The 24,408-nt window shown below is 48.7% G+C and overlaps 2 protein-coding genes across 59 annotated transcripts in view, besides 5 other annotated features; one reads left to right on the top strand and one right to left on the bottom strand.

Annotated features, from left to right (window-relative positions):
• Window positions 8,030-8,499: a silencer, noted in NCBI's record as "silent region_19175". NCBI's record gives its function as "represses an Ori minimal core promoter by ATAC-STARR-seq in GM12878 lymphoblastoid cells {active_cell/tissue: GM12878}" and the evidence as "EXISTENCE:reporter gene assay evidence [ECO:0000049][PMID:35858748]".
• Window positions 8,590-8,669: a silencer, noted in NCBI's record as "silent region_19174". NCBI's record gives its function as "represses an Ori minimal core promoter by ATAC-STARR-seq in GM12878 lymphoblastoid cells {active_cell/tissue: GM12878}" and the evidence as "EXISTENCE:reporter gene assay evidence [ECO:0000049][PMID:35858748]".
• Window positions 8,710-8,819: a silencer, noted in NCBI's record as "silent region_19173". NCBI's record gives its function as "represses an Ori minimal core promoter by ATAC-STARR-seq in GM12878 lymphoblastoid cells {active_cell/tissue: GM12878}" and the evidence as "EXISTENCE:reporter gene assay evidence [ECO:0000049][PMID:35858748]".
• Window positions 8,858-10,109, top strand: CEBPD (CCAAT enhancer binding protein delta). The gene has a single exon (NM_005195.4). The coding sequence runs from the start codon at window positions 8,902-8,904 to the stop codon at window positions 9,709-9,711; it is 810 nt and encodes a 269-aa protein (NP_005186.2). The 5' UTR covers window positions 8,858-8,901; the 3' UTR covers window positions 9,712-10,109.
• Window positions 8,896-9,834: an enhancer, noted in NCBI's record as "H3K27ac hESC enhancer chr8:48649750-48650688 (GRCh37/hg19 assembly coordinates)". NCBI's record gives its function as "activates a minimal SCP1, AML or CMV promoter by ChIP-STARR-seq in naive H9 embryonic stem cells {active_cell/tissue: H9 hESC(naive)}" and the evidence as "EXISTENCE:reporter gene assay evidence [ECO:0000049][PMID:30033119]".
• Window positions 9,310-9,499: a silencer, noted in NCBI's record as "silent region_19172". NCBI's record gives its function as "represses an Ori minimal core promoter by ATAC-STARR-seq in GM12878 lymphoblastoid cells {active_cell/tissue: GM12878}" and the evidence as "EXISTENCE:reporter gene assay evidence [ECO:0000049][PMID:35858748]".
• Window positions 10,110-10,715: 606 nt separating the features above from the next.
• Window positions 10,716-24,408, bottom strand: part of SPIDR (scaffold protein involved in DNA repair) — a 475,429-nt gene continuing 461,736 nt past the window's right edge. For 22 of the 58 annotated variants that reach the window (NR_148202.1, NR_148204.1, NR_104581.1 and 19 more), the window contains 4 exons: window positions 19,729-19,822; window positions 17,975-18,089; window positions 17,557-17,610; window positions 11,021-11,715 (listed from right to left, as the gene is read on the bottom strand). Coding sequence is in view for 53 of the 58 variants with exons in the window: in NM_001352958.1 (NP_001339887.1) it covers window positions 11,572-11,715; window positions 17,557-17,610; window positions 17,975-18,089; window positions 19,729-19,822 (407 nt within the window). In the remaining 5 variants the exon portion in view is untranslated. Of the gene's footprint in view, window positions 11,716-14,320; window positions 14,452-17,550; window positions 17,611-17,919; window positions 18,090-19,728; window positions 19,823-24,408 lie in introns of those variants that run through there. The other 36 variants (XM_017013268.3, XM_017013269.3, XM_017013273.2 and 33 more) reach the window with 11 other exon arrangements.

Raw genomic sequence — 24,408 nt, 5'->3', positions numbered from 1 at the left:
ACTGAGTGCAAAATATGTGCCTAAAAGAGTGAGAGATACTAGAGAAAAATAGTGTTGCAGCTCTTAACCTCACAGTATTTGCATTCTATTAGGAGAGACCAGGTTTTCTTTTTATTTAAATCTCCAGTTTACTTGATATTTTGCTCCTTTAAAAAAACAGACTTTATGTTTAGAGCAGTTTTATGTTCACAGAAAAATTTAGTGAAAGGTAGAATGCCCATAGGTCTCCTTGCTCCCATCCCAATGCACACCCCCTCCTTCACCACCAACAATCTGAGCCAGCGTGGTGCATTTTCTACAATCCATGAACCAACATTAACACACTGTTATCAACCAGTATCCATAGTTTACATTAGTGTTCACTCTTGGTGTTGTACATCCTGTGAGTTTAAACAAATGTATAATGACATGTATCTACTATTATAGTATCATACAGACTGGTTTCAGCGCCCTAAAAATTCCCTATGCTCTACCTACTCATCCCTCCCTCCTTCCCTCTCAACCTCTGGCAACCAGTGATATTTTCACTGTGTCCATAGTTTTCCCTTTTCTTGGATATCACAGAGTTGGAATCATACAGCATGTAGGTAGCCTTTTCAGATGTGTTTCTTTCGCTAATATGAATTTAAGTTTCCTCCGTGTCTTTTCACGGCTAGAAGCTGGGTGTACCACAGTTTATCCATTCACCTACCAGAAGACATCTTCTAGTACACCACTTTGATTCCCTTATTTCCATTTCCGTATGTATTTTTAGGTTTTGTGTTAGCGTTTACTCTGGGGAATAACGATTAACTTTATAATAACCAAGTTTTAATTAAATACCAACTGAGTTTCATAGCATACAAAGACTCTGTTCCTTTACAGCTCTGTTGTGCCCCTCTTCCCACACTTTATGTTGTAGTATCACAAACTGCATCTTTATATATTGTGTGCCTGTTAACATAGCTTTACAATTATTGTTTCAGGGGTTTGTCTTTTAAACTATTTAGTAAAATGAAAAAGGAACTTATAAACCAAAGGGTGTTTTTATATTTACCTATGTAGCTACATTTACCATTGTTCTTTATTTTTGCATGTGTTTGAGTTACTGTTTGATGTCCTTTTGTTTCAGCCTGGAAGACTTCCTTTAGGATTTCTAGAGCAGGTCTATTGGTGAAATACATCAGTTTTTGTTTAGCTGGAAATGTCTTAATGTCTCAATTTTTGCTGGATATAGTATTTCTGGTTGACTTTTTTCCTTTTATCCCACTGTCTCCTGACCACCATGGTTTTGATGAAAAACTGATTATTAATTTTATTCAGGATCTCTTGTATGTGATGAGTCACTTGGCTCTTGCAGCTTTCCAGATTGTCTCTTTTTGTTTGGTGTTCAATAATTTGACTATAGTGTTTCTTAGTATGGATCTCTTTGAGTTTGTTCTACTTGGTGTTGTTGAACTTCTTGGATGCGTAGAATTCATGTATTTCACAAAATATGGGACATTTTGGCTATTCTTTCTTTCTTTTTTTTTTTTTGAAATGGAGTCTCACTGTCCCCCAGGCTGGAGTGCAGTGGCACAATCTCAGCTCACTGCAACCTTCGCCTCCCAGGTTCAAGTGATTCTCCTGCCTCAGCCTCCCTAGTAGCTGAGATTACAGGTGCCCACCACCATGTCTGGCTAATTTTTGTATTTTTAGTAGAGATGGTCTTGAATTCCTGACCTCAGGTGATCCGTCCACCTTGGCCTCCCAAAGTGCTGGGATTACAGGCATGATCCACTGTGCCCGGCCTATTATTTATTTAGGTAGTCTTTCTGCTACTTTCTCTTTGTCTCCTCTTTCTGGGACTCTCATTATGCATATGTTGATCTACTTGATGATATCCCACAGGTCCCTTAGGCTTGGTTCACTTTTCTTCATTCTTTTCTTTTGTGCTTCCCGGGCTGCATAATTTCAATTGTCCTATATTCAAGTTTGCTGATTCTTTCTCTTTCTTTCCTTTTTCTTTCCTTTCCTTCCTTTCCCTCCTTTCCCTCCCTCCCTCTCTTTTTCTTTGTCTCTCTCTTTTCTCTTTCTTTTCTTTCTTTCTTTCCTTCTTTCTCTCTCTCTCTTTCTTTCTTTCCCTTCCTCCCTCCCTCCCTCTCTCTCTTTCTCTTTCTTTCTTTTGATGGAGTCTTGCTCTGTTGCCCAGGCTGCAGTGCAGTGGCACGACCTCGGCTCACTGCAACCTCTGCCTCCCAGGTTCAACAGATTCTCCTGCCTTGGCCTCCCAAGTAGCTGACATTACAGGCATGCGCCACCATCCCCAGCTAATTTTCTTTGGATTTTTATTAGAGACAGGGTTTCACCAAGTTGGTCAGCCTGGTCTCAATCTCCTGACCTCAAATGATCTGCCTGCCTCGGCCTCCCAAAGTGCTGGGATTACAGGTGTGGGCCACTGCATCCAGTCTGATGATTATTTCTGGTGCCTGTTTAAACCTGTTTGTTGTTGTAACCTCCTAGTGATTTTTCATTTCATTTCAGCTCCAGAATTTCTAATTGGTTCTTTTTGGTAATTTCTCTCTCTTAACTGATATTCTCTATTCGGTGATACTTCATGCTCCTGGCTTCCTTTAGTCCTTTGTACATGGTTTACCCTAACTCTGAGCATTTTAAAGACATGTGATTTAGTTTTTGTCCACTAAGTAAGTCCAGTGTCTGGCTTCCTCAGGGATAGTTTCTATTAATTTCTTCAGAGTATGCTTGTGAATGGTTTATACTTTCTTGTTTCTTTGCATGCTTCATAAATGTTTGTCAAAAACTCAGCATTTTGATAATTACAATGTGGCAACTCTGCAAAGTAGATTCCGCCCCCACCCTCCACCCCTGCCAAGGGTTTGTTGTTGCTATTTGTTGTGGGCTGTTGTTACTTGTTACTGACTTTTCAAAACTACTTTTGTAACATCTGTATTGTGTTTGTTGTGTGAGGCCACTGAAGTCTGTGTTCCATTAGCTTAGTGGTCAGCTAGTATTTTTAACAGAGTAACCTTAAATGCCCAAAGCCCCCAACCCATAAAAGAAAGAGAGAGAGAAAAAAAAAGTACCTACAGAAACTCTTCCAGTCTTTAGAGACTGGCTCTGTGTTGGCATACTCCTTTAACACTTAGCCAGGTTGTTTATAATTCTGTCTTAGCTTTCTCTTCTTGAATGTGCACATCTTGAAGGTCAGCCAGAAGTGGAGGCTTGAGGTCTTCTCAGGCCTTTTCTGAGCACTCCGCCCACGCTGGGCATGCACGTAATTCCCTGGTACACGCAAGAGCTTTTAATGGCCCTTATTCCCCACTTATGTTCTTCCTCAAGCTCTTCCTTCCTAGACTTTTTGGTCTTTCTATTGCTTGTCTCAGGCTCCTACAGCCAGTACTTTTGCCCTTGCTGCTCTTGGCAAATGCCCAAATGCAAACGCTATCCTTGCTCTAGTCCATCAGGGAGCTGTCAGCCCGGTCCAAGCACACTCCCGTTTCTTTGAGAACAGAGTCTGTGTTGTTCACTCTGGCACTAGCAGCCTGCATCAGGAGTTCATGCTGCCATCTTCATGGCCACCAACAATCTGGAGAAGGAGGGATGGCAAGCAGGCAGTTTAAAACACCAAAGTGCTTTCTTAGTACATTGCAGCAGCTTCTTTCTTCATTATACTTTCCCCAGTTGCTGTAAGTTTGTGGCTAGATTTCAGAGTTCTGTAAAAGTTGATTAGGACAGCTTTTGCCAGCTGTATTTGTGGAGTGATGGAGCACTGGAATTCTTTACTCTGCCATTTTTGGTGATGTTGCTTCTCTCATATTTCTTAAAATTTTGATTTTGTACTCATAGAAAGAACTTCATTTCTTTTAGACATTGATTTTAATAATATATCACTCTTACGTGCATGTAAAAAGGACAATATAAGTAAATTGCTTAAGATGTTCCCAAATGTTTTCATGTTCACTCACTGTCTCCTCTGAATCACTTTTCATTTCAGAGTCATTGCCCTGCAGGTTTTTACACACCACTGCTCTTCATTCCATCAAGACAGCGAGCGATGTAGCATTTCTTTAGAAAGTGCTCTCCGCCATCATCCTCAGGATTCACTCCCAGCCACTGGCACCCATATGTGGACAAAGACAAATATCCTAACTGACACTCTGGACAACAGTGATTGTCACATGCATCCCAATTTCAATAAAATATAAAAAAAGTGCACTTAATAATTGACAAGATGTGGGATGTATTTTTCCTGAGAAGTCAGATGAGGAAGTGATTAAGTAAGTCACAGAAAGCACCATCGAGGCAGGCACCATTGCTCTTGCCAGCAGAGTAGTGCAGAGGAGAAAGAGCTCTCGGTGGAACCATCAGCTTCACACACAGGAAACCAGGCAGGTCCTGGGTATTTGGAGTTGAGTCAGGTGCCAGTTGTTGTGAGAGGAAATTGACTTCTTGAAGTGGGCAGTGGAGGGCTCCCACTTGAGAACTGAAACTCCATCCTCTAGGCCAAGAAAACATCAGCAGATTCTAAGGAACACAGTGACGGGACGGGCTCTCTTGGGTGGCCATCTGGAGAATGGATTGGAAAGGGAGAGCAAGCTGTGAGTCCAGACCTGCTGCACCCTTCCTGGGGGAGCAGGTGCAGCTGCAGCATCACTGCCATCAAGGAGGCAGCTGGGGACCTGGGGTGCAAGGAGGCTGGCAGAGGGGCTACTGGGTGTGGGCCAGGGAGGGATGAATCCACCTGATAAAAATGTAGGCTGGGAAGACAAATTGCTTTTCCTTTTCTGTTGAGGAGAATGTGAGCAGGTATTTGGCAGGTGGGACACCCAACCCACAGAATCCAATTCTTGTTGTCAGTTCTGGCTACTTTACAATCTGGGGACTCAGCCTTTTAGATTCCAGAAGCTGAAGTGCACATAGAAATTGTTACCAATCACAGCAGGTTTCAATGACATGCACAAGCTTTAACAGCATGAGGGGTGCGTGACCCCAACAACCACTGGTTTTGTTCCTTTGACTCTGTCTTTCCTTTTCCAAACTCACACATTGCGAATAAGGTTCATCCTGAAAAGTCAGTATTTTTGGATATAAACATGTAACATATAAAAATTTCATGGCCGGGTGCGGTGGCTCACGCCTGTAATCCCAGCACTTTGGGAGGCCAAGGCAGGCAGATTACCTGAGGCCAGCAGCTGGAGACCAGCCTGGCCAACATGGTGAAACCTCGTCTCTACTAAAAATACAAAAATTAACTGGGCGTGGTGGCACACACCTATAATCCCAGCTACTCGGGAGGCTGAGGCAGGAGAATTGCTTGAGCCGGGGACATGGAGGTTGCAGTGAGCCAAGATTGTGCCACTGTACTCCAGCCTGGCCAACAGAGCGAGACTCTATCTAAAAAAAAAAAAAAATCGCTATTGTGACCCAAAACTCGGGAAAATAAGCCATAAATTTAAAATAGCCCGAAGGCAGAAGGGAAACAAAACCATCTAATCTGATAGCTGAGAATAACAATCTGAAGAAAGCACTAAAAAGTTTCCCACCTCTTGAAACTTCATTTCATATTTACGTTTAGAGAGCACTCCTCAAAAACGTTTTATTTTTTCAGACTGTAATTTGGAGCAGAACTGCTCTTCTGCCATTTCAATTATCCAAATATGATCCCTAGGATGAGAGAGAGCTGAATTATGGTCAACTTCGTCCTATGAATGAAGGGGAGCCAGATTGGCTTTTGGACCCCAACAAACAGCTTATATTAACTCAAACACATTTTAACCGTTTTCAACCTCCTGAATTTCTTTTTTTTTTTTTTTTTTTGAGACGGAGTCTCGCTCTGTCGCCCAGGCTGGAGTGCAGTGGCGGGATCTCGGCTCGCTGCAACCTCCGCCTCCCTGGTTCACGTCATTCTGCTGCCTCAGCCTCCCTAGTAGTTGGGACTAGAGGCGCCTGCCACCATGCCTGGCTAATTTTTTGTGTTTTTAGTAGACACGGGGTTTCACCTTGTTAGCCAGGATGGTCTCGATTTCCTGACTTTGTGATCTGCCCGCCTCGGCCTCCCAAAGTGCTGGGATTACAGGCGTGAGCCACCGCGTCCCGCCTTTTTTTTTTTTTTTTTTTTTTTTTTTTTGATACGGAGTTTCACTCTGTCGCCTAGGCTGGAGTGCAATGGTGTGATCTCGGCTCACTGCAACCTCCGCCTCCAGGGTTCAAGCGATTCTCCTGCCTCAGCCTCCCAAGTTAGCTGGGGTTACAGGCACCTGCCATCATGCCCGGCTAATTTTTGTATTTTTGTAGAGACAGGGTTTCACGATGTTGGCCAGGCTGGTCTTGAACTCTTGAACTCAGGTGACCCGCCCACCTCGGCCTCTCAAAGTGCTGGGATTACAAGCGTGAGCTACTGCACCAGGCCTAGGCAAGAACTTTCTAACCGCTTCCTGTAAAGCACCTCAATATGCATCACTGTCATGTAAACTCAACTTAGTGTTAATAAATGTAGCTTTGGGAGGCAGAGGCGGGTGGATCACGAGGACAGAAGAACGAAACCATCCTGGCTAACACGGTGAAACCCGTCTCTACTTAAAATACAAAAAATTAGCCGGGTGTGGTGTCACGGGCCTGTAATCCCAGCTTCTCCGGAGGCTGAGGCAGGAGAATCGCTTGAACCCGGGAAGCGGACGTTGCAGTGAGCTGAGATCGCGCCACTGCACTCAAGCCTGGCGACAGAGCAAGACTCCGTCTCAAAAATAAAGATAAAAATAAAAATAAAATGTAACTATATTGACTATCGGAATCAGTAAATCATCTCACTGAAAATAGTCTCTGAGTTGTTTTTAGGAGGATATGGTTATCCCTTATAAATATTGATTTTGCATTCCCTAAGTGATTAGGGAGGGCTTTAATAGTGTTTCTATGGCTTCTGAAATATATGAGAACAAAACAATTTGTGCTAGAACTTTTTCTGGATGTGCGTAAGTCCACACTCTATGCATTGCTGGATTTCAGTCTTAATAGGTAATTAATTGTGTGACATCATCATTGTGTACCCTCTGAGTAACTCTAAAGAAATATGTTTGTTCTTTAGGAAACCTATTAAATATCCCATAGTGCAACGTTAGAAATGACCTCTGGAACTGACTGCAGAAACTGCACAGCAGTTAGTAGAGCTTGGTGTTCCGACGCAGATCTGGTGAGAGGCCTGCGCAGGAAGAGACTCGACATGGAGCAGGTGTGACTAGCGATAGTGATTTAATGGATTTGGGCCCGACATGGTGGCTCACGCCTGTAATCCCAGCACTTTGGGAGGCTGAGGCCGGCGAATCTCTTAAGCCCAGGAGTTTGAAACCAGCCTGGACAATATTGTGAGATCCCATCTCAATTTTTTTTTTGAGATGGAGTCTCGCTCTGTCGCCCAGGCTGGAGTGCAATGGAACGATCTCGGCTCACTGCAACCTCCGCCTCCCGGGTTCAAGCGATTCTCCTGCCTCAGCCTCCCGAGTAGCTGGGATTACAGGCGCACGCCACTACGCTTGGCTAATTTTTGTATTTTTAGTAGAAATGGGGTTTCACCATGTTGACCAGGCTGGTTTCAAACTCCTGACCTCAAGTGATCCGCCCACCTCAGCCTCCCAAAATGCTGGGATTACCGGCATGAGCCACTGTGCTCGGCTGAAAAAAACCATATTTTTAATTTAAAATAATAAATGGGTCTGACCAGAAATGCCTGCCTCAAATTGCAGGACACATGACAAAGCCCATTCTTACTTAAGACATTTTCAGTGTGCGATGGGTCTACCGGGATGTAACCCCATCGTGAGTCGAGGCCCATCTGCACCCTGCTATAGCTACTGGTAGATCTTACCTGTTTCCCAAAAAGGACCCAACTACTTTAGGTTCAAGGCACTTTTTTGGAATATTTAACAGGGAAAGAGCCTGGAACTAAAAACAGGTCTAACGCAAGATGCCGCCACACGATGGCACTGCTTCCGTAGACCTGGAAGAAACGCGGGCGCGGGAGCTGGCGGCGGACGCCCGGGTCTGCGGGGTCGGGGAGTAGCGTCCGGCCGGAGAGCCCGCACCTCGAGGAGCCGGCGGAGGACGCGGTGTCGTGACCGCGTCTCCCCCATCTGCTCTGCTTTTGGCGACAGCGTCCCGTCGGCCTTTCGGCCAGGACGCAGCAGCCGCGTCTCTGGGCCTCGACCCCCAGGGCCGGCCGGACCCGGGACCTCCGAGGAGAGCAGCGAGAACCGGCCCGGATTCCCCGAGGCGCCCGAGTGCGGTGCGGGCAGCCCTCCCCGCCTGCCAGGCCGCCGCTGTCCCCACGTCTGGTCCCCCACGCCTCTTCCCGCATCTGGTCCCACGGTGGAGGCGCGGGGCGAGGGCCTCACGCGCGTGCCCACGGTCGGGGGGCGTCCTTGGACGCGCGGGTCCTCTCCCACGGGTCTCCACCCCCCGCCCTCCGGCGACAGGAGCCGGCCTGGGACGCGCGCGCTGCGGCCAAGTCCTGGTTTTGATTTCACTCCCAACCCCGAGGAGCGAGGAGGTTCCAAGCCCACAAACAGGAAGAAGAGAAGGCCCTGGAGTGCTGGCAGAGGGAGTGTCATTCCCAGCAGCGCAGCGCAGGCCGGCCCGGGCCGGGGAGGGAGCAGCAGCGCGGGCACCCTCCTGCAACGTGGGCTGGGGGTCCCCAGGGCCGGGGAGGGGGCCCCGGGGAGGAACTGAGAGGGGGCGCGCCCCGGGAAGGCTCGGGGCGGCTCCGGGGGGCTCCCAGGGCGCCCCCGCCCCTTCCCCCGCGGCCCCGGGGCGCCCCCGCGGTGCCGGAGTCGGGGCGGGGCGTGCACGTCAGCCGGGGCTAGAAAAGGCGGCGGGGCTGGGCCCAGCGAGGTGACAGCCTCGCTTGGACGCAGAGCCCGGCCCGACGCCGCCATGAGCGCCGCGCTCTTCAGCCTGGACGGCCCGGCGCGCGGCGCGCCCTGGCCTGCGGAGCCTGCGCCCTTCTACGAACCGGGCCGGGCGGGCAAGCCGGGCCGCGGGGCCGAGCCAGGGGCCCTAGGCGAGCCAGGCGCCGCCGCCCCCGCCATGTACGACGACGAGAGCGCCATCGACTTCAGCGCCTACATCGACTCCATGGCCGCCGTGCCCACCCTGGAGCTGTGCCACGACGAGCTCTTCGCCGACCTCTTCAACAGCAATCACAAGGCGGGCGGCGCGGGGCCCCTGGAGCTTCTTCCCGGCGGCCCCGCGCGCCCCTTGGGCCCGGGCCCTGCCGCTCCCCGCCTGCTCAAGCGCGAGCCCGACTGGGGCGACGGCGACGCGCCCGGCTCGCTGTTGCCCGCGCAGGTGGCCGCGTGCGCACAGACCGTGGTGAGCTTGGCGGCCGCAGGGCAGCCCACCCCGCCCACGTCGCCGGAGCCGCCGCGCAGCAGCCCCAGGCAGACCCCCGCGCCCGGCCCCGCCCGGGAGAAGAGCGCCGGCAAGAGGGGCCCGGACCGCGGCAGCCCCGAGTACCGGCAGCGGCGCGAGCGCAACAACATCGCCGTGCGCAAGAGCCGCGACAAGGCCAAGCGGCGCAACCAGGAGATGCAGCAGAAGTTGGTGGAGCTGTCGGCTGAGAACGAGAAGCTGCACCAGCGCGTGGAGCAGCTCACGCGGGACCTGGCCGGCCTCCGGCAGTTCTTCAAGCAGCTGCCCAGCCCGCCCTTCCTGCCGGCCGCCGGGACAGCAGACTGCCGGTAACGCGCGGCCGGGGCGGGAGAGACTCAGCAACGACCCATACCTCAGACCCGACGGCCCGGAGCGGAGCGCGCCCTGCCCTGGCGCAGCCAGAGCCGCCGGGTGCCCGCTGCAGTTTCTTGGGACATAGGAGCGCAAAGAAGCTACAGCCTGGACTTACCACCACTAAACTGCGAGAGAAGCTAAACGTGTTTATTTTCCCTTAAATTATTTTTGTAATGGTAGCTTTTTCTACATCTTACTCCTGTTGATGCAGCTAAGGTACATTTGTAAAAAGAAAAAAAACCAGACTTTTCAGACAAACCCTTTGTATTGTAGATAAGAGGAAAAGACTGAGCATGCTCACTTTTTTATATTAATTTTTACAGTATTTGTAAGAATAAAGCAGCATTTGAAATCGCCCCTGCTTCCTATATTCGCAGTGACTCCCGCCCGCCCGCCGGTGGCGCAGGACCCGGCTCGGGAAGGGTGCGTTCCGGACCCGCAGCCAGCGAGCACCAGGGAGCCCGGGCGCCAGGTGTGTGTGTGGGGGGGGCGGGGGGATGGGGCGCAGGCCCGAGCTACTCAGGAGAGAGGGTCTGTCGCTTTTAAAACGCATTAAAGGCTCTCTCCTGGCCTTATTTAACTTGCCTAAGCTAGGTGGAGCACGGCTGAGCTCAGGTAAGCTAGCAGCTTTCCAGCAGAAGGTGTTCTCCCGAAGAACGCAGACCTGGGGAAGGGTTGACTTTTTGGGGGCCCCTGCTGAGAACAGTTCAAGAGCTCCCTAACTGTAGAGGCTGCTGGAGGGGCGAGGGGCAGAACCCCGGGCTGAATCATCTCCCGCTTTCCCGGGACTTTGCTTTCACTTTCCTCAGTCTTGTGGACAGAGTCAAGTAGATTTTCAAAAGTGCTCCAGAAAGGCCGGAATAGTCATGTAGTGGATGAAAAGGGCAGTCACAAAACTGCTTAAGACCAGCTGTCTTGCCAGTAATTGCAGTGCTTTAAGATTTAATTAAAAAGCCGCCTGCCTTTAACCCAAGAACACTTGGTATTAGGGCACCATGTCTTGGTCACGGCTGCTACGTGTATCTGATGTAGTTAACCATGGCCTGTCATGATTATATTGCTATAAGGAAGGGAACAAAATCTTTATAGTGTCCAAAGATAATTAATTCTTGGTTTAAATCTTTGCCAGCAAAGCAAATATCCGACTGACTGCTCCTTAGTCTGTGATCTTTGCTCTCCGTGCACATTACCCAGCCTAATTAAAACAGGTGTGTGTGGTGGAGCCAGCTATCCCCACCACCATTCAGCAGAGACACGATCACACCAGTTCAGAGAGCTACACTTTATGGGTAACAGTTTCACCTGTGATACAGTTCCCTAGAACATTTTCCCAAAAGTAGTGAACTGCAAAGTGCTTAGGTTTGACATTTATTGTAGCAGAACAGTAATATCACAGTATGGGACAAAGGTTTACACTTTGCAGGGTATTCTTTGGGGGAATGTTAAATACTGTAATAAAAACATGTTCAATCATGGTAAAATGTTCAACTTGTTAAAATTACAAATGAACAAAAAAAATTTTTTTCTCATATATTGCCTAAATACCAAATGAAGAGCTTAAACTTAAGATTCAATGTGAAAACGAGTAAATATGTTCCTAAATTTGCAGAAAATAAAAGATAAACTGTAGAAAAAGGTATTTTGATTTACAGTTCACAAAACTGTATCTGAACATTTCCCCAGAAAAATCTAAGTTTCATTTCAAGATCGTAAACTACGTTCACTGTGTCCATAGTTAACAAATAACTACCCCAAATCACCACCACCACCACCACCCTTGCAGCCACATTGCAAAGTTCACAGATCCTGCGGCAACCGCTAGTGTTCTGCAGAGGCCCCTCCTGCACTCAGAAGCTCGATTTCCTCCAATCCAATGCAGCTGGTCGGGTGGGCGGTTACGGACTGGACAAAACAATTTAACAACCCCACTTCCTTTCCGAGGACACTCTTCACTTCGTAGCTCTGCAGTGATAAAAGGCACGCTGGTTAAAGCAAACAGCCTGGGACGTACTGTTCCCAACAACACGGAAAACCAGAGAGCCAGAGTGGAAGGCCCTTTCCCCAGTCCACGACCTTCCACTCCTCAAATGGCTGAGAACAGTGGTAGGAAGGAGAAACAAATGAAGAGCCACTACACACACACACACACACACACACCCACACACACACACACCCACACACCCATTTATTTTAGCAAGTGAAGGAACTACCCCATTCTGGTAACTGAATTGTTTTTACTTGGGACACGATGCACACAGACTCTGCTGGGAAGGCCGGGGCTGGGCACACAGTGCCCACAGCTGTCTCCCACTTCCTTTAGGACACTTCCTCAATCTAGCAACACTTCCGGTTGAGGGATTTCCTGGTGCTTTGCCCCAAACTTCCTTCCTTAATAGGATTCCATTTCTTCTAGAGTTATACTGGGCTAAAATCCTCTGTGTTTTTGTAATGAGACTTCGCTTTTTCTTCTAATTCTTTTTGGTTAGTCCCAGGTGAGTTTCGTCTCCAGATGAGACAGGTACAGGGAGTCCTTGGCCCCCATCCCTGACCAGGCTGAGAGGGTGTGGTGCACCCCATTATAGATCAAGCTGCAGAATGCTGTTGCGGGTAGGGCTGAAAATAAAGGCTCAGAAGCACTGAGATATTCCATCTCTGGCTTTCTGGGAGATTAAAGCCCTAGAAGGCAATGTCACTTGCAGAGTAATATCATGGGCACCCCACACTCCTCCTCTGTGCAAGGCATTTGGCAGTTGCTACAGCAGTTCTGTTTGGTGTCTATTAACTCACCCCTCCCATCGTTATGGTGTCATGGCCAAAGAGACTGAGGCTGGAGAAGCCAGACAACGTGGCCAAAGCAGGTAGAATGTGGCTCCTTGGTGCCCTTCCCTTCAAAGGTGTGAGTCTCACTGCCTTTCCCTGAGTTTGAGCTGGCCTCAGTGTCTGGCTTCTCATGAACACAGTGCGGTGGAAGGGACACCAAGTGATGTTCCACGCCTGGTCAGGAAAGGTGCCCAGCTTCCAGCTGGCCCGTGGGATCCACACACATGCTGTGAGGGGGTCCGGCCAGAGCTGTGGCCTGGACGTAGGAGCCTTCTGTGACTCCCACCGGCCTTGGGGGCACCCGCTAATGCCCAGTGGAGCTATCCGGATGAAGCCCTGTCCAAACAAGAGTTCTGTGCACAGAATGAATATTGATGCCACCAAGTTTTGAGATGGTTTGTTTTGTAAAAATAAATGTCAGGATCAGTCTGGGATGTGAACGCTACTGACGCCAACTCGTGGGGGGACTTTGATTTTCCCATTTGTAAGACAGGCGTGGTGCCTATTCAGTGTGCTCTGTCAAGAGTTTTGGCTTCCTTGGTGAAAAAGAATAAAGTCAACAGGATGGTTTAATGTAGTGATGGGGGAAGTGGGTGTCACTGGTCAAGACAGGCAAAGAGAAGGAACTTGGTAATGGAAGCTGAGGCCTTCCCAAGGGCTCTGAGGTGGCATGGACGGCAAGTGCAGCTGCTCACTCGCTCACACATGGGGTTTATTATGATCCCATGTGGGCCCGTCACTGAAGAGATGGCAGTGAGCAGGACAGTCTCCAGGCTGCTGGACTGGAGGGGACACCAGGGGATACAGAAGCAGAAGCAGGGTCACCGCACGGGGAGGGAGGGTGGAGGCGGCATATGCGCTGGACACCCTTCTGGTGTCTTAGAGTTTCAGTTAGTCTTGCATGTTTGTGCAAGTGTGAAACAGATGACCCTATGGTCTTCTGGAGTAAAAGTATGCAATTCTGACTTGGAAAAAGCCAGCAAAAAATCATTTATTTGTAAAATGTTAGGTTTGGCTATATTATCCTGTAAATGGAGTTTAAAATTTTTTATTACTTTTTTTGAGACTGAGTCTTGCTCTGTCACCCAGGCTGGAATGGAGTGGTGTGAGCTTGGCTCACTGCAACCTCTGCCTCCTGGGTTCAAGCAGTTCTCCTGCCTCAGCCTTCCAAGTAGCTGGGATTACAGGTGCGCACCACCATGCCTGGCTAATTTTTTAATTTTTAATAGAGATGGGTTTTCACCATGTTGGCCAGGCTGGTCTGGAACTCTTGACCTCAGGTGATCTGCCCGACTGGGCCTCCCAAAGTGCTGGGATTACAGGCATCAGCCACTGTGTCCAAGTAATAAATCTTTTATGTGTGGGAGAAATTAACATGGAGAGGTTTAAACAACCATATTAGCAAACTCCCAAGCACTATTCATATGAATGTGTGTCTGCATATGTGTAAAATGTGCTCTCTTTTAAAAAATCACTATATATGTTCCTTTAACTTTTCTGAAAGCTAAGGAAACAAACTTCAAGTTCCATGCCACAATAATGTTACTATTGAGAAATGAGATGCACAACTACAGACAATCCTACTGTTTTCACATCTGCAGCTTGACCACATTACAGTAAAGGCATAAAACTTAACACTCAAGTATCTTAACCGAAACAGTACATTTGCCCCAGGGAATGGAGTTTTACAGTTCTTGTGGAAAGCCCCAATTTGATTCTCTGAATTTTGGTGAATGTGTATGCTCACCCAGAAAACTGACAGAATCCATACTGGGTATCTCTCAGCTAACATCTCTACCCAGGCCCCTCTGGCACCCATCTTCTATCAGCTTCTTTCCAGATCCGCAGTAAAGACCTGATCAGCCACTGTGAATAGAGCTGGGCATGGAGTAAAGAGCCTCCTAAGTTGTCTACTTCCAGGCTTGGAACTTACCCCACAGTCCACTGGTATTGGCCCTGAAACCAGAGCACCCAAAAAGGTGATACTAAGGCTGCTGCCACCCTCTGGCCCTCACCCAATGCACACACATACACACATGTACGCATGTGTCCAGCATATGTGCATACACAGCATAGTCAAGTGGACACATACACATGCACACGGGCATGGGCAAAGGTGCTCTGATGCACACATACTGCATAAATGTGCACACACGTGCACTCAGGTACACACACCTTTGAGCTCTTTATAAGCAGGGCTTTTACCTATGGGAATATTCTAGTTGACAAGTTAAATGTGTAGGAGGAACAAGCACCTTAGCCAGAAGGAAACCAAGTGAAGGAAGGAGGATTTCTGCCAGGGTTCCTGGTCTCTGGATCTCTAAAGAGGGGTGGGGATTGGAACGGGTGTCAAGCACTGTCCATTGCTGGAGACTTCCTGGATGGTGACCAGGGATGCCAGGCAGCTGCTGCCACAGCACCGTCCCACCCTTCTGAGTAGCATGGAGCAGCTGGAGAGCTGTGTGCCATGCCCAAGAGTTGGTTGAATCTGTTGAGGTTGTGGGTTTTGGTTCGTTTTATCATGCGTTCTCAAACAGGGGCGTTTCTAATGCTTTCTCCCAACATTCTCCATCAAGATGTGTTCCCTGAAAACTCAGATCTGCCACCTTTAGCACCTACTCAAACTTCTACCTGGTCAGCTGTGGGCAGTTCCCCCCTTTCTGGGCACTGCCTCCTCCTTTCTTCCTCCCTACCCCCAGGACTCAGACAAGGAGACAAGGAATTGGCTGACAGGCACTGCTGTGTGGTCGGTTGCCTGTTATACACTTAAACTTCCTTAAGGACAGAAAAGCACATATGCTGTTCCCCATTATGCTCCTTGGGCTGGCTCCCAACTCTGCAGGTGGTCACTCTGTGGCGTAACGATGACTTTCCCTCTGTGGGATGTCTTTGCCTTGGGCACTGCACTCATCCCCCTAGCAGGGAAATATGGGCTCTACCTTGCTGGGACATTGGGAGGTTGAACAGGGAAATGTGAGAATGCGGGAGGCTCAGTTCCTGGCCTGTAGTGATGACTCACCTTTTGCACCACTGGGGAACACTTGCTGATGAGCCTCCACAGCCCGGCCTCAGCATCAGTCCCTGTGTGCAGCAGCTCAGGGGACAATTCCGAGCTGGAGCTCGGGGTCACTGAGGAGCTTTAAAGCTGGTGGGTGTTGTGCCAGGAGGGAGCAGAAGCCCTTTTTTTTTTTTTTCTGAGACGGAGTCTTGCTCTGTCGCCCAGGCTGGAGTATGGCACAATCTCAGCTCACTGCAACCTCTACCTCCCCAGTTCCAGTGATTCTCCTGCCTCAGCCTCCCGAGTAGCTGGGGTTACAGATGCGCACCACCACACCCAGCTTTTTTGTATTTTTAGTAGAGATGGGGTGTCACCATGTTGGCCAGGCTGGTCTCGAACTCCTGACCTCAGGTGATCCGCCCGCCTCGGCCTCTCAAAGTGCTGGGATTACAGGCATGAGCCACCATGCCCAGCCAAGAGCAGAAACTCTTTAGAGCTTGCAGGTAATTCTAGTGTATAGTCACTTGTGATCCTCAAAGATCCCGCTCATAGACTTATCCATGTTCCAATTTAATCCAACTCTGACAGACATGGTTTAGATGAGAGAGGACAAACTGCTGCTCTGCCTTGCGGGGCTGCTGGCCCCTCCTGAGGTGCAGTGGGTGAGAGGGTGGCAGGGGTAGTGGGGCAGGGAGGAGTCTCCATAGGACAGGTCAAGTCACCACAAATGTGGGTTGGATACTTGGGAGGCTGAGGCAGGGGGATCGTTTGAGCCCAGGAGTTCGAGGCTGTAGTGAGCTTATGGTTGTGTCACTGCACTCCAGCCTGGATGACAGAGTAAGACTCTGCCTAAAAAAAAATTCTGGCTAGAATCTGGCCATGGGGACCCATTAGACAAAGACCCCTTATTTAACTGACCACAGAGCTCCAGGCATGATCGGCCTCCCCAGTCACCACACTCCCTTCCAGCGTGGCCCAAGTCAGCTCCCTGGTTGTGGAGCCCACTCTGGTTCCAGATGTCTCTTGTGAACTGGGGCTGTGCCCAGGGGCCACTGAGTGGCTGGTCCCCTTCTGTGGCTATTCCATGAGCCACTTGTGGTGCTTTTAAATGGCTTTCACAAGACACAGGTGGCATCTCTAGGACAGATGTCTCATTTATGTGGGTCAAATTTCACACAGCAGAAACTCTTTGGCCCATCAATTATATATTTAGGTGGCTTTTCTTGGAGGAGCCACCCTGCTTTACTAAGATTCACCACAGTGACTCTCAGGGCAGGACAGTCACATTACCAGTTATTCAGAGTCTGGAATACCCAGTGTTTAAAAAAAGAAAAAAAAAAGCATCTTGGGGAATTCCATCCTATTAACATGACACCTTGGCAGTAGGACTCCAACCTGAAGACTGTGGTGCTGTAATCAAAGCCAGGGGGCAGGCTGGGTGCAGCGGCTCATGCCTGTAATCCCATCACTTTGGGAGGCCAAGGTTGGAGGATCACCTGAGGTCAAGAGTTCGAGACCAGCCTGGCCAGCATGGTGAAACCCCATCTCTACTAAAAATACAAAAATTAGCTGGGAGTGGTGGCTCATGCCTGTAGTCTCAGCTACTCGGGAGGGTGAGGCAGGAGAATCGCTTGAACCTGGGAGGCGGAGGTTGCAGTGAGCTGAGATCACGCCACTGTGCTCTAGCCTGGACAGAGAATGAGACTCTGTCTAAAAACAAAAACAAAAACAAACAAAAAAGCCAGGGGACAGATTCCTGCATCTACCTCAACAATGATCTAAAATAACCTCATTTCCACAGAGGAAAGGAACCTATCAGTCTGAATGGCAGACATATCTGCATTTCACTCTCGAGTGTCTACACCACTTCCTAGTGGGATGGGTTGTAATAGAACACATTTGGGAGTGGGGGCTTCCTCTGGGGATGAGTTGCTCATGCAGGCTACTGAGTGTGCGGCCCCCTGGGCTGGGCCCCCTGCACTTACCCCATCTTCACCGGCGGCAAACCTCAGCAGGGAGGAAATGCTGCGCTGCAACAGCTGCAACAGCAGAAGCAGGGCTGGGTTAAACTCCCTCCAACACAGTAAGTGCTCAAGTTAAATCACTCATTCCCGAAAATTAACATGTTATATCCAAACCACCTGTCTTCAGAGCTTCAGTCTCACGGCCTTAGGTCAAAGATGTGTTTTAACATGGAGAGACTGTGTTCACATAGGGTGCATCCTCCCACCTTTCCTAGGGAAGCTCCTAGGACCTAGAGGGAGTTCCAGATGCAAGCCATCCCAGCCGAGTCCCAGCGCCTCTGCAGGCGTACAGGAGGACGTGCACCTGCTTCAGCTCTGTCTCACCTTCGCTATGTTGGAGTGAGCTAGGAGTGCGTGCGTGCTCTGGCCTGGCTCCTACCTTGACCTTCACTCTGCACTGCGGTCTTGAGCGGCAGTCCAGGAAGACCTGCAGGTGCCTCTTGAGAACAGGAGATGTGACCACCCGGGAGCAGTCCCCACAGGAAAAGGCGCCTCTGGTATATGAAAAGCCAAGGAAAGACAAGGCCCCGGGAGGCACAAGTCAGGAAAGCTCCAGTGGGAGACATTTTCTTAAACATGAGTGTCTGCTGAGCTAGAAAACGGGGCTTTACTCTCAGAATCAAGTTTCTGAGAGAGGCCTGCAGCTGCCTGGACTCAGCCTGTCCAAGGGATGAACATTAGCTTCGAGTAGCACGAGTAGCACTGGCTGGAGGCCGAAGAGGGGAGCAGAGGAGGGGATGCTGAGCCTCCCAGGAAGGGAGGTCAGGGCCTGGGAGGCCAGGGGTCAGGCTGCCCCCTGGCCCGGAAGAGAAAGTCTGCTCTCAGCTGCCAGCACAGCCACTGTTGTGTGCTACCCTGCATGCCTGCACATGTGCTCATCTCTTCCACACAGTCCAGTGATGGCTTGTGTAAGGCCACCAGCCCAGATATGCCAAGGAGACATTTGCTCTTTGCTTTGTGTGTGTTTTTTTTTTCCTTTTCTTTGAGATGGAGTCTCGCTCTCTCTCTGTTACCCAGGTTGGAGTGCAGTGGTGCGATTTCGGCTCACTGCAACCTCCACCTCCCCCTGGTTCAAGTGATTCTCCCACTTCAGCCTCTGGAGTAGCTGGGACTACAGGTGTGTGCCACCATGCCCGGCTAATTTTTGTATTTTTAAAATTAATAATAGAGATGGGGTTTCACCGTGTTGGCCAGGCTGGTCTTCAACTCCTGACCTCAAGTGATCCACTTGGCCTCCCACAGTATTGGGATTACAGGCGTGAGACACTGCACCTGGCCGATCTTTGCTTTTTTTTTTCTCTTTTTCTTTTTGAGACAGAGTCTCACTCTGTCACCAGGCTGGAGTGCAGTGGTGTGATCTCGGCTCACTGCAACCTCTGACTCCCCGTTTCGAGAGATTCTCCTGCCTCAGCCTCCCAAGCAGCTGGGATTACAGGCACGCGCCACCATGCCCAGCTAATGTTTGTATTTTTAGTAGAGACTGGGTTTTGCCATGTTGGCCAGGATGGTCTGGATCTCCTTACCTTATGATCCGCCTGCCTTGGCCTCCCAAAGTGCTGGGATTACAGGCGTGAGCCACCATGCCCAGTCTCTTTGCTTTTTAAGAAGCAGAAAAGTAATGAGCCTGTCCCTTTCTATCACATGACACTGCACTTGGGAGGCCGGAGGACTGACTTCATAGGGACAGACTGCACTGACACTGGCCCAGACCCTGAGGGAGGGCAGCATAGTGGGGTGGGCAGGGACATCTGTCCAGTAGCTGCTCACTGTAAAAGTGGTCTCTGTAAACGTCTGCACCTTTCACAAAAGCTAGGCTATACAGTCACCAAGTTTTTTTCACTTATTCATGTTTGTCCTGTTTTTTTAATTCTCCTGGCTGATAATAAAGGAGGTGGGGACAAAACCCAGCACATCTATCTCATAACAGGAGCAGCTGCAAGAAACAGCAGAAATCTCAGTAAGGAAAACCCACTGGGCCCCAGAGGCCTCTTCCCTTGCTGCTCAGCAGAGGCAGAGGTTGCCCCTTGAGCTCTCGAGGGAGTCACCTGAGGTAGCAAGGCCCAGGTTCTGGGGCTGGGTTGCTTCTGTGCCCTTTCAGTTCTAGGGCTTTCAGGACAGCTCCTGTCCCCTTACCTGTCTTCCGGCCTCTGTTCCAATCTCCCGTTGCCACACATGTCACACACAGGCCATGAGAAAGCAGTGCTCTCGTCCACGCCAACCACAGTGCCTAGGCCCAAGAGAAGGAAAGCCCACCTCAGAGGCGGCTCTGCCCTCTCTGACTCCTCTGCTCCTCCACGTGCAGAGGACAACATGAGGGGCCTCGTGATTTTTGCCTTACTTGGGAGTTTATATACATGTTCCTAAGATTTTTATAATTTCCACTTATTGTACAAAGAAAAATTATAACAATAAGAAGTACGTTTTAAAACTTGCCTGCATATTACCACCTAACTGAAGTATTTTTGTTGGGATATTTTTCCAGATGCATAGGTAGTTACATCGCCACAGCTGAGCCGGCCCTCAGTCCCTCAAACATTCCCCATATTGCATATTTAGGTCTGTGCTTTTTCTGTAGCACAGTAGTAGTATATAGACTCCTTAACACAGTAATGAGTGTTTGAGCTATGATTATGCCACTGCACTCCAGCCTGGGTGACAGGGCAAGACCCTGTCCCCACTCCCCAAAAAAAAGATGAAATAAATGGTGAATTGACAAATGGAAAAGACACCTGAGACGTGTGTCAAAGACACCTCTGGGCATCCCAGAGGGTCATGGCTTCCTGAGGAAGGGAGTGAGGGGGGTCCACAAGACAGCCAGGGCGGGCCACACGGGGCCTCAGCCAACTCTGCACACCATGGCAGGGCTGAGGCCGGGTGAGCACAGTTGGTCAGTGCTTGCTGGGGATTGGGATGGTCTGATTTTCTTGGATGTGAAGCATTGTAGATATCATCTAGATACACCACCAAATCGCAGATGTCCTTGTTGAAAAGCGGTGAAATTAGATGTTTGAAGAAAAAGTAAAATCTGAGTTTCTAGAAAAATAGAAAGGTCTTCCTTTCCACTCTTGGCACAAAAAATTTCATTCCTCACTAAAACCAGCATTGGGAGAAAATTTATCTTTAGAGGATAAAACAGAAGTATGAGAATGAGTAGGCTTGGTTTATTAAAGTGCATTCATGCAATGCATACTTGAATGACTTTTTAAAAATGAAAATAATAGATCTTGATTTTGAAAAGGCTGCCCTAGCTAATGACATTGTCAAAGTGGGTCAAAGGGATGAAAAGCAAAGTCAATAAAGGCTCGTAATGCAGCTGGAAAGCAGTGTTGACTAATTCACAATGGGCAGGCACATGAGGAGGTGCAAGTGGAGAAAGGAGCCGGGGCATCCCCAAGCCCCAGAGCACATCTGCCACTGTGGCCTGGCTCCTGCCCAGGGCCTGCAGGCCCACCAAAGGCCCACTCACTGGTTTACTGATGTTTGGTAAATGACTGCTACCTTAATAAAAAGTAGACTGCTACCAGCCAAAGTTCCTTTTTATCCTAGGATATCCATGGGTGTTAATAGCATTTACATTTATATGGGATTAAGCAATTTCCTTCCAATTAGAGAATAAGGCAAGAGTTGAGGAAATACATTTCATCTGAGGTCCATAAGCCATTGTGGAAATCTTTTCTGGCAACCCTAAATAAATTTCAAGAGATGGCTGGGAAGTGTATGATTAAACATTCACTTAAGGTTGGGCACAGTGGCTCATGCCTGTAATTCCAGCACTTTGGGCAGCCGAGGTGGGAGGATCACGAGGTCAAGAGATCGAGACCATCCTGGCCAACACAGTGAAACTCCGTCTCTACTGAAAATACAAAAATTAGCCAGGCGTGGTGGCACGCGCCTGTAGTCCCAGCTCCTCGGGAGGCTGAGGCAGGAGAATCGCTTGAACCCAGGAGGCAGAGGTTGTAGTCAGCCGAGATCACGCCACTATACTCAAGCCTGGTGACAGAGAGAGACTCTATCTCAAAAAAACAAAAACAAAAACAAAAGACATTCACTTAAATGAGCATCAGAAAGAAAAAGATAGTTTACATCAGGGTTGAGGACACCATACTCATGAACTTGCCAGCAGTTTGCCATTAAGTCTTTAGTTTGCTTGTCTTATGTGCAGAAATGTCTTGTAATTAGGTTTGGGAAAGGTGTATTGCTTAGTTACAAACACATCTTTTTAAAAAGGTCCTTTCAAAGGGTCCTCAGGATGGGTGGGTCTGGCGCTCACCACGCCTGGTGCACACATTTCTTCAGTAACTTGAACTCTGCTATACCCTCTTCCTCCCTATCTCCTGATGGAAAGAAGTCAGGGCTCACAAGTCTTCTATTTAGAAGCTGGAGCCTGGGTTTAGATAGGACTTCACCCCTCTTTCCACAGAGATGTGAGCCTGCTGCATCCCTTCCTACAGCCCTGCACCAGGTCCCATCGCTAGTGAGTGGTGGACAGAGAGGTGGTGAGCAGAGTGAGGGAGGGAAAACCAGCGCTGCCAAACGACTTCACCCCAGAAGACACAGCAGAGAAACATTTCCGCACACCCCAGAGCTGCCACTCAGGGAGAATAGAGACGAGGAGGCCTTGTGACACCAGCAAGGAGTGAGTGTCTCCCCCTCACCCCATCACTGAGACCTGGATGGACAGAGGGATGCTGCCAGCTCTCAGTGAGTGACTGCTCCATGCTCAGAATATATTCAGGGTCCTTTTAAACTCTGCTCAGAGAAAATGTTCAGTACTCAGCCATCTGAGACCCAGATGCTCAGCTGGTTCAGCTGCTGGGAGAGCTGCCCAAGCCCTAGCACCAACTCTCTGCAGATGTGAAGGGGTCCCCTTGGAGCCATGCAGCGGACATGTCATCACTGAGATCTTCTGGACCAGGGCAGAGCAGAACAGAGCAAATCTGAGGTGCTGAGATGGGGGCAACTGCTATTGCCAAACAGCAGTGAGGACTCCAGCCTTGCCTGGATCTGATGGAGGTGGGCAGACCTGTGGCTGGTGGGTGTGCAGGCTGAGGACTGTGTAGGAGTAGGTCACTGCCTAGCTGCTACCTTGCTATGGACATTCCTGCATGTGAGGCTTGGATAATCTTTGTTATTTTGCAGCTGGGGGTTTGTTTTCTCTTAATGCCTAGTTGACTGGTTCTCATTAAAGGATCTGGCAGCACTCAGCCCTGCCTCTGTGATAAGTCTGTTTACAAATCTTGAACCCTACATGAGGGCCTGCAGGGCAGCTGTAGAACAGGCCCGGAAGCAGAAGAGGCCCACAGGGAATGCTACATGAAAATGGCGAGATATGAGGAAAATGAAATGTCAGAAACTTGAATCTATATAAAGAAAGGAAGAATACTAGAGAAGGAATAAATGAAGGTAAAATAAAATCTTTTACATTTCTAATTCTAAATTGATAGAAAAGATAATAGTTTATTTAAATAATAATGATAATGTAATCAATGATTATACCTTTTGAGTAAGTGAAATGCATAACAGGAGTGTTACAAGGGATGGGAAGGAAAAAAAAAAGAAATCAGGAACACTCTGATAGAAGGTACCTGCATTACCTGTGAAGCAGGACAGTGTTATTTGAAAGTGGACTTGATTGGCTGTAAAGTGTATTGCAAACTCCAGGGTAACCACTAGAAAAACTTAAAAATAAGTATAATTGGGCTGGGCGTGGTGGCTCACGCCTGTAATCCCAGCACTTTGGGAGGCCAAGGTGGGAGGATCGTGAGGTCAGGAGATCGAGACCATCCTGGCTAACACAGTGAAACCCTGTCTCTACTAAAAATACTAAAAATTAGCCGGGCATGGTGGCGGGTGCCTGTAGTCCCAGCTACTCAGGAGGCTGAGGCAGAAGAATGGCATGAACCCGGGAGGCGGAGCTTGCAGTGACTTGAGATCGCACCACTGCACTCCAGCCTGGGCGACAGAGCGAGACTCCTTCTCCAGAAAAAAAAAAAAAAAAAAAAGTATAATTGATATTTTGAAAGAAAAGAGAAAATGGAATCATAATGTTCAATAAAAATCAGAATAGGCAGAGAGTGGAAGATAAAGAAACAAGTGGGTCAATGAATAGAAAACAGTTATAAATACAGTTGATATTATCTCAGTTATATGAATAATCACTTTAAATGAGAATGGTCTCAATACACAAATTAAATGACAGAGACTATCGGAGTGAACAAAAAACAAGAACCAACTATATGTTGTTTATATAAAGACACATGGCTAGCCACAATGGCTCACACTTGTAATCACAGCACTTTGGAAGGCCAAGGCCGGGGGATCACTTGAGGTCAGGAGTTTGAGAGCAGCCTGGGCAACACAGTGAAACTCTGTGTCAACAACAACAACAACAACAACAACAATAACAACAACAAAAATTAACTGGGCATGGTGGTGTGTGCCATCCCAGTAGTCCTAGTTACTCGGGAGGCTGACGTGGGAGTATTGCTTTAGCTCAAGAGTTCAAGGTTGCAGTTAGCTATGATCACACCAATGCACTCCAGCCTGGATGATGCTGTCTTAAAAATATTAAAACCAAAATATGGCCAGGAGTTTGAGAGCAGCCTGGACAATACAGCAAGACCCCATCTCAAGAAAAAAAAAAAGGATGAAAAAACCAATAAAAAATCCAAAACATTTCTGGTTCCAAGCATTTCGGATATGGGATACTCAACTTGTATAGAATGATTTTCATCTTTGAGAATCAATCTGTAGAAAATGTGTGCAAAGCTTAATTATAGTTATACAACAGAATGTTACCAATCTTAACAATAT

The sequence above is a fragment of the Homo sapiens genome, chromosome 8 (genome assembly GCF_000001405.40).
Source record: "Homo sapiens chromosome 8, GRCh38.p14 Primary Assembly".
Classification (NCBI taxonomy): domain Eukaryota; kingdom Metazoa; phylum Chordata; class Mammalia; order Primates; family Hominidae; genus Homo; species Homo sapiens.
The sequence above is the reverse complement of the archived record's forward strand: the minus strand, read 5'-3'. Positions and strand labels throughout refer to the sequence as shown.

Coding starts and splice junctions, on each gene's coding strand:
- CEBPD (NM_005195.4), top strand. CDS start 8,902: ATGAGCGCCGCGCTCTTCAGCCTGGACGGCCCGGCGCGCGGCGCGCCC.